The 16,335-nt window shown below is 36.9% G+C and overlaps 1 protein-coding gene across 2 annotated transcripts in view, besides 2 other annotated features; it reads left to right on the top strand.

The window, feature by feature from the left end:
• KLF12 (KLF transcription factor 12) overlaps window positions 1-16,335 on the top strand; it is a 619,957-nt gene that overhangs the window by 75,089 nt on the left and 528,533 nt on the right. The gene's annotated exons all lie outside the window — the stretch shown is intronic.
• Window positions 2,889-3,033: an enhancer, noted in NCBI's record as "145 bp enhancer 52 fragment used in the MPRA reporter construct; PK_construct_121". NCBI's record gives its function as "activates an SV40 promoter by MPRA in HepG2 cells {active_cell/tissue: HepG2}" and the evidence as "EXISTENCE:reporter gene assay evidence [ECO:0000049][PMID:23512712]".
• Window positions 2,954-2,967: a transcriptional cis regulatory region, noted in NCBI's record as "HNF1 motif; enhancer activity is reduced when this motif is scrambled". NCBI's record gives its function as "necessary for full MPRA enhancer 52 activity {active_cell/tissue: HepG2}" and the evidence as "EXISTENCE:site-directed mutagenesis evidence [ECO:0005528][PMID:23512712]".

Below are 16,335 nucleotides of genomic sequence, written 5' to 3'. Positions count from 1 at the left end.
GATTTAACACAGCAAAAAGATATTCAGTGTTCTTGAAGCACAGACAACGTTTAATGAAAACTAGGAGATCAACAGAGGGTTACTCATAACAGAATGAAAATTCCATGAGGCACATTGGAAAGAATTGGAAGGGAGGTCAACAGGAGATGGAAGCATAGGAGAGAAACAAGCACCAGGTTTAGAGAAGCTTGCTTCTGGGGCAATAGATAAACACTTGATAGTCGTGCATGCACAGAATTCTGTGCAGTTGGCCCAACAAGGGTGTGGTGCCTCGGGGTAGAATTCATCCCGAGTACGTGAGGAGACAATCCTCTGCCTCCATAGTTGCTCACTTTCATGCAAAACCAGCTGTTACCCATTTGGTTGGGGAACTGAGGTAAACATAGTGGAACTGAAGAGGATTGGAGTGGAGTAGCAGAGTCCTAGCCCTTGAATAGAATTTTTGCCAGGTAATTGATGAGAGTGTGGATGAGCACAATTATACCTATTATTTATTGGGTACATACTCTGTGTCTGCCATGCTTAATCTTCACCACAGAAAACTTAAAGATACGTGTATTAGTCCATTCTCACGCTGCTATAAAGAACTGCCCAAGACTGGGTAGTTTGTAAAGGAAAGAGGTTTAACTGACTCACAGTTCTGCAGGGCTGGGGAGGCCTCAGGAAACTTACAATCATGTCCTTCTTCACGTGGCAGCAGGAAGGAGAAGAATGAAAGTCAAGTGAAGGGGGAAGCTCCTTATAAAACCATATGATCTCGTGAGAACTTACTATCACAAGAATAGCATCAGGGGAACTGCCCCCATGATTCAATTACCTCCGACCAGGTCCCTCCCAACACACATGGGGATTATGGGAACTACAATTTAAGATGAGATTTGGGTGGGGACACAGCCAAATCATATCATGTGTTATCATCTCATTCTAAAAATGAGAAAAGTACAGCTCAGAGAAACTAAGTAATGTACCTCATCTACCCATCTTCACACAGTTAAGTGACAGCATTAGGATTTGAATCTCTCCCTCTTTCCATTTTGCTTTGAAGAGCCAAGGAAACATGTCACATTTTAGAAGATAAGGAGTTAGGATTAGGTGGAAACACAACATTGGTAACACTGGGGAGACGGGACTGAAATAGTCTGTATAAGAAGCAGAACTGACTTAGGGTCAGCTGAGGTTTTTGGCCTTCCAAACCAATCCTTGTAGCTTATTCCGGTGCAGGCCTTGGTTGTTAGTGGCTCCTGGGCTGCCCCACAGTACCTATGAAAAAATGGAAAGGAACAGTTACCTTCTAATTTTTCCAACCTAAAAGAAGTAGTTAGTATTTTAGATAACTTTCCAAGTGTTGGTATAAGTGAATAGTTTTCTTTAATTAAGACTATCTCATAAACTCTTACCTTTTCCAAATTCTCACCCTTTCAAGTCTGACAGGAATAAAAACTGTTGTTACCATGCATCACCGTCACCAGAGCTTCCTTACTTTTTACAAGCAGCTGAGCACACCATGGGGCTGAGGAAAGTACAGAATTGTTGCCAAGTGCAGGTAGAACTCGTGAACCTGGCATGTTCAAAACCACGAATAATAAATACAGGAGTCAAAGGACTTGTTTTTGGCCAGGATTTAACTCTTTAGGAATGTATTCTTCAAAATATTTAGGGACACATTGCTTATTATGTATTTTTATCTTGGTTCAAAGCTTTCATTCCTAACGACTATCCCCCTTATAATTTCACACAAAAGTGACATATACATAACTTTGATGATTTGCTCCAAGAATCAAAAAGCCAGAGAAATGGCAACATAATTATATTTGCTCAATATCCAGTACTATCCCAACTCACAACTCTAAAAGGGCATGTTTCCTTGTTTGTCTTACTGTTTAAGGTAGTCAGCACCATTACAAGTTTCAGCATATAAATTAATAGAACACAAAGATCCACTGTATTTAACTTTGATTGGCTTCATGTACTGAGGGTTCTTAGTATTTGGTGATGTAGATTCCAATGGTATTAACATTATTCCCTAAGCTTGGAGCAGCAGTGTTTGATTTCCTTCATTTTTCTGGTGTGTTTTTTTTTTCAATTTAATGAAGACCATGCAAATTGATAAAACACTAGCATTTAATCTTTACTTTTTTTTTAAAGAAAAATACATTAGGGGACATAAATAAACTGTGACACAAATAAACTTCTTTTTATCCAGTGTCCTGACTTGGGGGTCCAGTTTCAATTTCAAGTATTCTGTCCCATCGTTTCCATTTAAGTCACATCAGATTGTCATAATATACATCCAAGTTTTGAATTCAGACAATATAGATATCACAGTATGGGTAAAAAGAGCCACTGATTTGGAATCAGACAAGTTAAATTCTCATTTAAGCTCTGCTACTGATTTCTGTGGGACCTTGAAAAGGGGACTTAACATTTCTAAGCTTAATATTTCCTTACTCACAAAGTGATGCAACTGGTCTAGGCGACCTCAAAATTCCATTCTATTCTAAAATCTTATGAATATGTAATATTTTATAGGAAAATAGTGTATAAATATTATTTCAATGATTAAAGATATAGAACCTATTATTTTAAAACCTAACATGTCCAGCTCTCATTGGTTTGCTTTTTCAAAATATATTATTTTCATTCCACTTTAATTCATGACTTTTTTACAAGTTAAGTCTTGAATTGTTTCTACTATATAATATAGTTTCAGATTTTTTAACATACGGTGCAGAAAGTTTGCTCTACAGCAAAATGTAGAAGAGGAAGATAATATTCCTCAGACATAGATAGTTCTGAAGCTCATCCAAGTAGACAGGTAAAATAAACTTTGGGAGAAGAAAACCGACATTTAAAATTGGTAAAGATACAAGTATTTTCGCAGAAATAACATCTTATATTTCCACAGCAATCTGTCTCCTTTTCTTTCTCCCAAACACAAGAAAAAGGCATTTCAAGTTACTGATTAACTTAAACATACTGATCTTTGGCTCGTCTAAGGTCCACGAAAGTTGACTAAACATTCTTCTACCAAAGAGAAAAACTAGAAAATTGAAAACATTTCTTAAAAAATTATATTATCTGTTATCCTGATATATCAACCCAAAACCTCATTTGGTTGGACTATGTTTTTATTTGTTCTTTTTGCCAGAGAAATCGGGAACTTCTAAAGGAATTATTTTCTTAAATATAAAACTAGGTTTTTGTTATCACAATAAACTCTATGTTTCCATGAATTGCCCACTTTCTCCTAATATTTTCCACTTTAGAATGAGAAGCCTAGGTTTGTGCAGAGCTGATTCTATAACCACGGGGATTCTTATGTATTGTTTGCTAAGCCTATGTATGGAGGTAAAAGAGTTAAACCTTTAAGCAAGGAGCCATTTTGACTAAAAATAGAAAAAACTTTGGCCAAGGAATCAAAATGAATACACCACTGAAAATAAGTTATTATATGTGACTTTACAATATTAAAGAGGAAAAAAATATGAAGAGACGTAGAAAATTTATCTACTATTATTGCACAACCACTCTGTAAGAGGCTGCATGATTCAATTTGGGGTGATACAAAAATGAACAAGACAGGCCTTTTCTCCAAGAGTTTATGTGATATTAACCACAAACACACTCATTGAAGGCAAAATGTGGTTTAATCCTGTGACAGGGGTACAACACTCTGCAGGAGTCCAGATTGCTGATATTTGAGCCATCCTTGAGATTAAGAGGATTGTGACAAGAATAGACAGATAGGAAGAATATTCTGGGTAGAAGGAACAAAAGCACTGTCACAGGCGATGAAGAGAGCCATGTTTGAGGAAAGGCAAGTGATGCTACCCATGTAGGGTGTATTGGAAATAAAAGAGTCAAAGAAAAATAATATTAATGGGAAGTGGCTTAAAGGATTTGTTAACAAAACAGTGAAGAAACATGACGAAACCAGTGCTTAATTAAGACAAAGAGTCTGAGCAGTATGCAGAAAACCTTGGAGTGGGGAAGACTGGAGGCAAAGAAATCTGTTAGGAGACTCTTTCACTGGGACTGTGGGTACACTGGGAAACAAACAAATGACTACTATGGTTTCTCAATCCCTACTAGTCTAGAAGGAGAGGGAGTCTGCTATATGTAACGTATGGTATCAGGGCAGAATGTTGAGGAATGAAAGTTAGGGTACCTTTCCCAGTTTAGCTGGAGAAACATAGCGTTAATAATTATCATAGAGCAATCTTCTGGCTTAATTGCAAAAGTATGTGCAGACTCATTTTGATACACTATGGAAAGAGTGTATGAGAAAAAAATTCACAATTTTCTTTAAAGCATATTGAAGGCAGATAGAAGATAAACTAGGATATGGGTTGGGTTGATTTTTTTAACTGAAGGCCATAGCTTCTATAATGATCTATTTGTTAATGTTTACCAAAACTCCATCCCTTGTCTTTCTGCCCAGCAGAGATTCATATTTTGTACCGCCTAATGGGCATGCCCACATGGATGTCCCACAAACTTGTTAAATGAACACATCCAAGATCAAGCACATCTTCCCCTCTCTGCTAACCTATTCCCTTACTGTCTTTCAAGATTCATTCAGTCTCCCAAGCCAGAAATTCCAAAGACACCTTCTATTTCTTTTTCATCCTGGAACTGTCTAGCCAAACCATTAGCAAGTCCTGCCCATTCTTGCTCAGAAACTTCTCTTGGAATTGTCGCCTCCTCTCCTTCCCAAGTCACTGTCTTTTCTTATTTCAGATTTCCATCAATTCTCACCTGGATTATTACATTTGTTTTCTATCTAATCTTATTGTATTTGTCTCCTCGAGGCCATCCTCTACACAGCTCCCAAATTAACTTCCTTTAAAAAAAGCTATTTCCACCATTTATCTGCTTAAAATTTTAGATATCTACATCTTACCTGGAAAACAAAACTCAAACTCCTGGGTAGAGCATGAAAGGGCATTTTAAATGTGCCCACAGTACACCTTTCCAGCAGCAATTCCACATTTCCCCATCTTCAGTCGCATTGACTTTATCACTGCTATGGTTTGTCACTGTAGAAAAGTATCCTTCCCTGACCATTGCATATGCTATTCACTATGTCTCACATGCCCTCTTTCCTCTTCTTAGACTGGACATCTTTTCATCCTTCAAGACACATATGAAAAAATCACTTTTTCTCTCCCTAACTGGACCTGACAAAATTACTTTCTCCCTATATCCATAGAGCACATTGTTTCTACCTTTATTTTTGCATTTACTCCCATTTTATTGTAACTTTATCTGTTTGTACGTCAGAGCTCTTTCAATTGGCAACAAAATTACCAAGGGTAAAGGCTGGATCTCACTGACCTTTTTATCTCCCATGTCTCTAATTAGCCTGGTAAATGGCATGTGTTCAATAAATGAATGACTGATTATCACTATTGGATACTATACAAATAAGTAATTACCCTTTAGGAATAATCGCAATGTAGGCCAAGACTACACACAATACTTCTTGGAGAAGAGGTAGGAAATAAATCTCATGGAGATTTAGAGATTTATCTGCAAGGAATATTTTGAAAGAAAACATAACTGTCCTCATTAACAGCATAGCTTTGATAGCAAACAGCTAACGTCCTTAAGGTAGTGTGAAATCAAAACTCTGCTTGTAAAAGAGAAATTAGGGAAATTGGCATTCTAGTCTTGAGTATCTTCTTCGTAGAGGTGGTAATTGAAGCTTTGGAATAGGATGATGATATCAAGGGATCAGGTGTAGGGAGAGAAGGCTACATACATAATCCATGTTGACTCTCAAATTCTTCCTGAAGATGCTGCAGTTAAAACATTCCTGTATCTGAGTATGGGTAGTGTTATGTTTTAGCTTTTGCTTAATTCTGTTATGTTATGTCATTGATAATCTCTAATTTGTATGCAATCAAGGAGAAAGCCATTTAGTAGTAAGAATGCTTTCAGCTGATTAAAAGTTCCAATTTTTCTGGGCATCCTGTTCAAATAAAGGGCAAATTTGAAGACAACATCAAAATGCACTACCTTTTCTGTTTTATGCACTTCCCTTCTTTTCCCTTTCACTTGAGCAAGTAATAATGCAGATTAAAATTACCTGCCAATTCTTGAAATGGTTTTCCTGATGAAGTTAAATTGACATTTTGGCATGCTTGGTAAAATTACAACAATATCCATCTTATATTTAATATGTTCTTTATAATTTTTAGTCATTATACTACTTATTAAGAACTGGTTATAAGACAGTTTGAGAGGAAGAAAATGCTAGAAACTCAAAACAACAAAGCATTTCCACTGTTAGAGAGCTTTTTCATATGTTATGTTCCAAATTACCTAATGGAGATTTAAAACATTCAATTCCAAGCAATTATATGCTACAACGTATGTAATAAAACTGAGGAAGAGCTCAAATGCTAGGGAAATGGAAGAAAGAACATTTCCTCTTTTATAAAATCTCCATTATTTAGCATCAATTAATCACATCGTAGAGTATAATAGATTGGTTGGTGGGTTGGTTGGTTGATGGGCTGGCTTAATTGTTAAATTTTTTCCATATAGAAAGTTAGAAGATCCTGGATGTCATAGATATCACCAGCCTGGGTGTAAGAAATCCTAGAATAGAGGATCTGAGGATGTAGGAAACATGTTTGTATTAATCCCAGAAGGTAGCCCAGGGCCTGCAGTCATTTCCTCTTTGAACAAATAAAATAATGAATAAATGGTCAAACCTCTTTATATTTCTGCAGATGATCAATAGAAATGTTGATCCCATTGAGCCATCAACACATTAGTGCGTATATTGGAAATCACATGAGGTAGGATGACAGCATCTGTGGAAACATGATATCATCCTTATGAAGGATTCTCTAACTTGAACAAAAGGGCAGAGTCACTAGGGAAGATTTTGTTTTTTAGGGGAAATACACAATAGGAGAAGCAGATAGGAGGGCCAGCTAATGTTTCAGTTCTCCATTACATAGATTCTCCCTTCTAGCAAATGAATGGATTGGCCTAAGAAACAAGATACTGACTTTCTCCACTTCACAAATGGCAAAATATAGGAAAGTTAAAGCAAGTGAAATATGTGCTTGTGAATAATACAGACATGATGACTGATGATCAAACCCATGGGGCTATGGAAGCCACCCAGATAGTCACACACAACTAGGACCATTACAGCAGAGCCAGCAGCATAAAGGCAAAACTCCAAAGTTGAAAGAAAAGGGGGAAAATTACTGATATTGATCCAATAGAAATATGTTAATATTGATGCAGTTCAGCCTTGATTTCCCAACACATAAGTGGTGGGAACTGACTGCCCTGAGCTTTTTGGACCACAGGGAAGTCCACTTTCCATCTCTATTCCATTCAGGTCATATCCCTGGGAAGACTCCCCTGGGTCCCAGAGACAGTTCAATGGCAAGCTCTTTAGCCCTGAATGTAGCAGAGTATCCTTTACCATACTTGTCCCATCATCTGGGAGCTGTCTTGTGGTAATGGAGAAGATCTGGGAAATCCAGAGTAAATGAAGACAAAAGCGTTTGAACTATGCTGGGACACATAAACTGTACTAGAAGTCTAAAAACAATAGATGGGGGTTCTCAGTAGATTTTCACAAAAGTTCTACTCATAAACTCCCAGATATTATTTGCAGCATGTATGGTTTCACCATCTACATACAAAGTCACGCTCTGCAATGGAAGAGTCCGATTGTGTATTGTTAAAACCACAAAGGAAGAAAATTGAGCTATTTACAATACTATTGTTTACTCATAAAATAAGTTACCCTTCCTCCCCGTTTTCCATCCAGAACATCCTAGCCAACTAAATTAAGCCATTTTGAAATTTGAAAGCGCCACAAAAAGGATCCAGATGTTTACAGAAGGGAAAAGGGTGAGGGTATTATGTGCTTATTTTCTTCTTTTTTTGGCTCATTTGATTCAAAGTACTTTGTTTTTTAAATCAACAAGGGTTAGCAATTTCTTTTCTAAGTCTTACTAAGAATGTTATTTCTAAAAAGTGGATTTGTTTTTATTAAATTCAGTTGTTGATTCATTCCACTATTGTTTGAGTTTGTATTTGGTGCCAGGCACTGTACTAGGTTCTGAAACTATTTTAAGGAACAATACCAACTTGATCACTTCTCATGAAATAACATTATTGTTCCCTTTTAGTTAGTTATAAATAAATTTGACCACTTTGGAAAAAGTGAAAAATTTATACATTATTATTTTATTTAGGCTATTAAATTAACTATTTGAGTGAACACCAAATATCTCCCAGGTTATCTGAAAACGTAATGCACTTATAATTAAAATTCTATTATGACTGTTTCAGCATTGTCCACTGATTCTAAAGCTTTTTTGGAAGAATAAGAGCTGGCACCTAATTAACCTATTTTAAAAAGGTAAAATAAGGGGAATAAAGTTGGTCTGTAGATAACAAAAGACAACACAAACTTTTAGTAATTAAAGGAGTATAGTAGTGATATAGGCCCTGATGACTAGATCAATAAATAGAAATAAATATCCCAGAAACACACTCATGTGCTTTTTGTAAAAGACTGTGGAATTCACATGTTTACTCTGCTCCTTCCCATGGAACTTACCAAAACATCTGAAAATCAAAACCATAAACTATTTTTCAAACTGAAAATACAGACATTTGCTTTCACCCTGAGGAGAATGCCAAATGTTAATTCACTGCCATCCAGAACTTGGTTGAAGTATAGATTCCTCTGAAAGAAAATTAGAGTGCCCCAAGAGGCTAACCACATTTCTATTTTATTTACTCAAACTACAAGAATTGGGATCATGGCTGTGGAAGGGAGAACGTGAGGGTCAAATTCAACACTGACAAGTGGTGGGAGGATAACTGAAATACCTACGTAGACATTCATCTTTACCATCTAGCTCCTCTCACTCAACTATTCAGTACTGGAGAAATGGCTTTCAGGTGTGGTAGGGTAAAGGGAAGGAAACCAGCCAGCAGAGTTCATTGAGCAAAGATAAATTGCCACATAAATGACCTATGAACTAGAGGGCTGCACCATGGACTGTGCTGTCTTCTTGCCTGTATGATCTGCCCATCCCAAAATGTGAGCTTCTAAGGTCCTCACACAGAGTAGACTTTGGTAGGAAATTGCCCTAAAACAACAAACCCAAACTAAAGCTTCAGTTTCCCAAGATCATGCACCCCTCAGGTGATGGTAGCAGATAAAACTGCCTCTCTTCAAATTGCATATTAACTCCACTTAAATATAAAAGGAAGTCATATAAATTGGGTCTAATAAGCAATTATAAAATAGCATGTCAGTGTTACAGAGCAAGAGAATGTAAAAATAACAAAGAAAAAATAGAGTAATAGAAATATGTAAGGAGGCATAATTGTGCTAATTTCTTCATTTTTATGTTAGAGAATTAATGATGCCCTCTAAAGTTAATATTAAGGAAATTAGATCTACATTAATTATTTGGTGTCATAGAAGTAAAACTAAAGGTAAGAATATGGGCTACAGAAATTCCAAGTGACCCAAAAAGAGGTGAGAAAGGGACTCAAAAGAAAAAAAAATACATAGACCAGATAACAAAAAATAGAAAACATAGGAAGCATTAAAAACATAAAGTATAACCTTATTTTTAAAAAAGACTAAGTGATGGCTGGGCGCGGTGGCTCACGCCTGTAATCCCAGCACTTTGGGAGGCCAAGGCGGGCGGATGACGAGGTCAGGAGATCGAGACCATCCTGGCTAACACAGTGAAACCCCGTCTCTACGAAAAATACAAAAAATTAGCCGGGCGTGGTGGCGGCGGTGCTTGTAGTCCCAGCTACTCCGCAGGCTGAGGCAGGAGAATGGCGTGAACCCGGGAGGCGGAGCTTGCAGTGAGCCGAGATAGCACCACTGCACTCCAGCCTGGGGCGACAGAGCCAGACTCTGTCTCAAAAAAAAAAAAAAACAAACAAGCAAACAAAAAAGACTAAGTGATATATATGTTTTCATAAATGGCAGGCTAGACAAATCAGAACAACTGAAAAATTGAGATGAAATATTTTAAATCATCTGATGAAGACATTATATATACACAATGGAATGCTATTCGGCGTTTAAAAAGAAGAAAATCCTGTCATTTGAGTCAATGTGAATAAATCTGGAGGACAATCTGTTAAGTGAAATAAGCCAGGCACAGAAACACAAATACCTCATGATCTTATATGTGGAGTGCAAAAAATCGATTTCATAGAAGCAGAGAGGAGAATGGTGGTTGCCAAGGGCTAGGGTTGGGTAGACCAGGGAGATGTTGATCGAAAGACGCAAAATTTCATTTAGGAGGAATGAGTTCAAGAGATCTGTTGTACATCATGCTGATGATGGTTTACAACATTATACTGTACATTTGAAAATAACTAAAAAGAGTAGATTTCAAGTGTTTGCCACAAAAAATGATAGGTATGTGAGCTAATGCCTATGTCAAGTAACTTGATTTCACCATTCCACTTTGTATACATATATCAAAACATCATGTACATAAATATATACAATTTTTACTTGTCAATTAAAACAATAAATAAAATCACTGCTTTAGAAATTAATTAATTAAGACAAAGACTCAAAAATTTTAAAGCATCCTCTTAACAGCTTTGGGAAGATAATAGGATAGTGCCTTATTTTCAAGACAAAAATCTACAATGTGAAAATCCGATGAAGTAAGGAAAGCATTTAAAGCCATTATTCTATACTATAATCAAAATTAATAACTTAAAACATGAATTTAACAGCAACTGGGACATAATTAAAGAAACCATTGCTAGCATATAAGTTTCACTAAAAGAGATTACCAAAACAATGCACAAAAAGGCAAAAAGTAGGAAAATACAGAAGAAAAAATCATGGAAGTTATGCAAGAAGTTTCCAGAAGAGGAAAAAGTCGAAGCAGATGCAATATTTTAAGAGATAATGACTAAGACATTTCCAAAACTAATTAAACACATTAGACTTTTAAAGGTTAAAAAAATCCTAAAATTATTGTTTTAAAAGAAAAGAAGTTTTAAAAGAAAAGAAACTTACACCTGGACACATTTGAGCACAACTGCAGAAAACCAAAGGCAAAGAAGTTTTCGAAGCAGCTAAGAAAAACAGATTACCTTCAAACAACAACAATTACACTGACAGCTGACTCCTCAACACCAGCAATCTTAGAAGACCACGGAATGTTTCCTTCAATGGGCTAATGTGAATTCTATGCACAGCAGAAATACCATTCAAGAATAAGTTTGAGCTAAAGACATTTTTAGAAAGAAAGTAATAAGACCCACATTAAAGAAATTATTTCTTAAACAATTTTTTAAACTTTTTTCTAAAAAAATTTTTTAGTGTTTTAAATAGAATATACTCACCCACAGTTCCTGTAACTCCAATCTTAGGAATGTATCTCAAATAGGACAAGCATAAAAAGATGTACATACAAGGTATATGAATTGCTTATTTTTTCAAAAATTTGAAAGCAAGCAAAATGTACATCAATAGGAGATTATTGAAATGAAATATGATGCATTCATAGTTTGTATTAAGAGGATTATACAGGTCTTTTATACTCACATGGAAATATAGTCTCAGAATTACAATAAGTAGAAAAAAGAAAAAGTAAAAAGCATCTCATGGGTCATTATGTTTCATGTGGTCCAATATGGGTTAAAATTTACAAATCTCAGCCGGGCATGGTGGCTCATGCCTGTAATCCCAGCACTTTGGGAGGTCAAGGCAGGATGATCACTTAAGGTCGGGAGTTCAGGACCAGCCTGGCCAATGTGGTGAAACCTTGTCTCTACAAAAATACACAAATTAGCTAGGCAAGGTGGTGTGCACCTGTAGTCCCAGCTACTTGGGAGGCTGAGGCAGGAGAATCACTTGAACCCAGAGATGGAGCAGTGAGCTGAGGTCACCCCACTGCCCTCCAGCCTGAGTGACAAAGCGAGGCTCCATCTCAAAAAAAAAAAAAAAAACTCTTATTTTTATAAGTTTACATCCAGAAAAGTCAAGAAGCGTATGCATGTAGTCATGATTCCTGGGGTGTGGTATAAGGGGATATTTTCATATTCTCTGTTTTATTTGTATTTTTTACCATCATAATTTTTGATTGGAAAAACAAAAGCTTTTAAGAAGAATCTCATATTTATTGAGACTTTACCATAAAATTATATTTATCCAGCTAACATCATTATGTTAGACTCGTTATCTCATTTGGTTAGGCCATGGTGTTAATGAAGCCTACCCTGAAGTTTTGTTTCCTGTGTAGGTCAATTAGCTCTGCACAGAAAACAAAATGACTCGTTTGTGCATTATCTATTCCCCCAAGGAGCCAGGCTTTCAAGTTTACCTGAGTTCGATGGCAAGAGACATTGCTTGGATGTTGCACAGCATAGAAAATGGAAAAATCAACTCAAACCATGTGAACCTGGGAGGTGCTGGAGGGTGCGGAGCGGGGGCAGTTAGTATGTCTTTCACCTGCAAAGAATGACTCATATCTTACTCTCTTTGAAGGATCTACCTTTGTTTTTCCCAGACAACCGCATTTCCCAGATTTCGTTAGTTAAATCAAAACAAAACTGCACTAATCAAGAAACTCTCATTTCTCGGCACTCCCTTTTCATTTGCCTTATTGTTCCCCACCTTCTCTGATTCAGAGTATGTCCCCCTTTTTCCTATTTTCATTCTAATAATAAAACCTCAAGAGATGGGGACTGACCAAACTACTATCTATTGCCTCAAGAAGGCATTCTAATCTTTTCAGTTCTGGTGAGGAGCATCAGCAATTTGGAGATTTGAGTCTCACAATTTTTTTAAGGCTTGCAGTTTTGCTTCTCAACTTTGCAGCAAGTATAATAAAACCTGGTAACATTTTTTGGCCGCTTGTCTCATATACAGCCTGCCATATAAGCCCACAGCTTCATTCCAATCTGAATATATCACTGTCCATTTACAACCAGAGCCATGGAAGGAATTTGAGCAGCTTGTTGGATTGTTTATATTGAATATATGGAAGAGTTGGGGTTATACATTCCAGCACATCATTGTAAGTGATGTACTATGTAAAATTCTAAACAAGTCATCTCACAATTCTTGAAAGAATATCTAGCATATGAATACATTGTAAGGAGAAACAGATCTTGTAGCATTCTCCATGTTTCTTTTGCAACATGTTCATGGGCTTTGTTTTTGTTTGTTTGTTTTGTTTTTTTGAGACGGAGTCTCACTCTGTCGCCCAGGCTGGAGTGCGGTGGCGCAATCTCGGCTCACTGCAACCTCCGCCTCCCAGGTTCAAGCAATTCTCCTGCCTCAGCCTCCTGAGTAGCTGGGATAACAGGTGCACACCACCACGCCCGGCTAATTTTTGTATTTTTAGTAGAGATGGGCTTTCACCATGTTGGCCAGGCTGGTCTTGAACTTCTGACCTCGTGATCTGCCTGCCTTTGCCTCCCAAAGTGCTAGGATTGCAGTCATGAGCCACCGCGCCCAGCCTGTAGTGGGCCTTTGTGTTAGCAATTAATAATGTTTTAGTTCTCTTTATATTGTGGAGGACATTTTATACTTTTAAAATAGTTGTACTACCAGTAGTGTCTGTAGAGAAGTATTTCTTTATAAAAAAAAAAAAAAGTCATCTATTATGCCACAATGAATGAGGTACACAATCTCTTCAATTGTCCTCTGAATGGGTTTCTTATTTCTATGTGGAATTTCATGTCACACAGTGTCCTGTAAATAAACATTAAAGTCCACCCTTTTCTTTACTTCAAAAAAAAGAATCATCTAACATTTAATGTTCTGATAACCAAGGAAAGAATAGATAAGGTCCCAGAAATTTATGATTTGAGTTTTTCTTTTAGAAATCCCTAGATATGTGTGTATATAAAAGGGAGTCTATTTTTAAAAATAAAAACACAAAAAAGAAATTGCTAGATGTTTTCTCCTGGGGGATATGGAAGAAATATGTGTTAAATAAAATAATTCTCAAGATTTTTTATATATAGGCCGACTCTTAACTTGATAATTAATATAAAGTCATAAATTTCCATAGAAAACTACTTCAGAGGTAGAAGTGCTGAAAAGAAATTCATTGTCAATAAATCACATTTAATTTTGAAACTCTCCTTCCCGTCAAGGTAGGTTAAGACTTCTTGCTACAGAGGATGTTAATTAGGGTGAACATAGATTCCAGTTTCTGAAACAGTCCTAGTTGATTTAAGCCTCTTGGCCCTGTGCATCTATTAATTGCACTCCTTTTTGCTTTTAGCAGTTTGAAACTTCTAATTTTAATAGTTCAGTCACTCCTTTTCATATATTTCTCTTCATTATGTCTCCTGATGTAAACTTCTCTTAGAAATCGAGAATAAATGAAGAATTGAAGAACGCAGAAGCACTATCCTTATCTACCCTGGTCCTTCACCCAGGACACCGGCCAAGGCTCACTCAGGGCTACCATGCTGCCCAATTTTCAGGGATGCCGTCCTCATCAGAATCTCTATGGGCGGTGCTCTCCTTCCTCTTATTGTACCTACGCTGTTGTACATTAACCTGTGGCCAATTTTTTTGTACATTACCCTGTGGCCAATGAAACACTTGAATATTTAAACCTAACCCCACTGAAATTAGTTTAAAATTTTAGATCTAACCACACTGAAATTAGGTTCTCTTCTGTTTGTGTGTGTGTGGGTATTTAAACTTTAAAAAGACTTTTTAAAAGTTTTTTTAACAAAAAGAGAGTGGCAAGGACTTAAAAGTGGAAACGTGATTTCAAATATGGGAGAGATAAAAAGAATTTGAAAGAGTTAGTGGAGTATAGAAAGGTGAATGCCAAGTGCCAAAAGGGAGCCTGCCTGGCAATCCCAGATGGGCTCATTACCTGAATGTGCCCCTTACTACAAAGGAGAGTGGAAGGGGCTCTTGTGTTCATTCCTGAAAGCATGTATGTTGCACTCCATATTCTCTCTACATTCTGGAACACCATGGTGCCTTCCCTAGCCTGTTCTAGCAGAAGCAGAAAATGCTCCAGATTCATGGACACCAGAAACATGGAAAGAAGAAAAGAGATGCTGAAGTGAAAATAGAGGGATAATTAAAAGTCTACACTCAGGACAGTGGGACACCTCCCCACAACCTTTCTGTGTTCCTCAATTCCAAGAACACTAGCCACCAGGCATATAGTCTTCTGGGAGGAGGACTGGAGGAGGAATACTTTTGTTTGTTTTCTGGAAAATCTCTGGTGCAGCGAAATGACAAATAGGTACTGACATGAAGAGGGTACGAGTTCTGCAACAAAATGACCAGATTCCCAAAGAAAGGCCATCAGGTGGCAAGCTCTAACAGCACACACAGAGGTTCCAATCAGGATGTTCAGGACCTTTCTCTTAAGCATTCAGTTTTAAACATCATCAGAAATTTGAGGAAAGCATCCAATTTTATAAAAGGCAGAGACCCAAGCAAACAAACTACTTGGCTCAGCTTTCAGTTCCTGGAAAAAAAAAAAAAAAAAAAAAAAAAGAACCCAGAGGAAATGAGAATATGGTAGGGTTGTTTTAAAGGTTAAAAAAATCCTAAATATGGAATACAGAGGAAGAATAATCAGATAATAACTTTTAACAGGAAATAAAAATAACATTGCTAAAATTAAAAAGTTAATAGAAGTGTAGGAAGATAAAGTGGAGAAATTCTATCAGAAAACATAAAAAGATAAAAATATACAAAATTTGTAGCATAAAAATAAAAATAAAATAATTAAAAGGTGGGTTCGAATGATAAAATATGCGGCAAATCCAAGTTCAAGGAGAATACAGTGGAGAAAAAAGATAGGAAGACATTATCAAAAATTAGTGTAAGGCCAGGAGCAATGGCTCACCCTGTAATCCCAGCACTTTGGGAGGATGAGGCAGGTGGATCTCCTGAAGTCAGGAGTTCGAGACCAGCCTGGCCAACATGGTGAAACCCCGTCTCTACTAAAAATACAAAATTAGCCAGGTGTGGTGGTGTGCACCTGTAATCCCAGCTACTCAAGAGGTTGAAGCAGGAGAATCGCTTGAACCCGGGGGGCAGAGGTTGCAGTGAGATGAGATCCTGCCACTGCACTCCAACTTGGGTGGCAGAGTGAGACTCCATCTCAAAAAAAAAATGGTTAAAGGAATTTTCCTCAAATTGAAGAATATGAATTTGCAAAAAGAAAACATTGCCTATTTTAATGCACATCTCATCTCTGAAATTTCAGAGCACTAGGGATAAACAGAATATTGTAAATGCTGTCAGAGAGAAATAGATTTTTAGAAAAAAAAAAATCTGAAATCAGAGTATCACCA

This window comes from Homo sapiens, chromosome 13, assembly GCF_000001405.40.
Source record: "Homo sapiens chromosome 13, GRCh38.p14 Primary Assembly".
In the NCBI taxonomy this organism is placed as follows: domain Eukaryota; kingdom Metazoa; phylum Chordata; class Mammalia; order Primates; family Hominidae; genus Homo; species Homo sapiens.
This window is presented reverse-complemented; position numbering and strand designations above follow the sequence as displayed.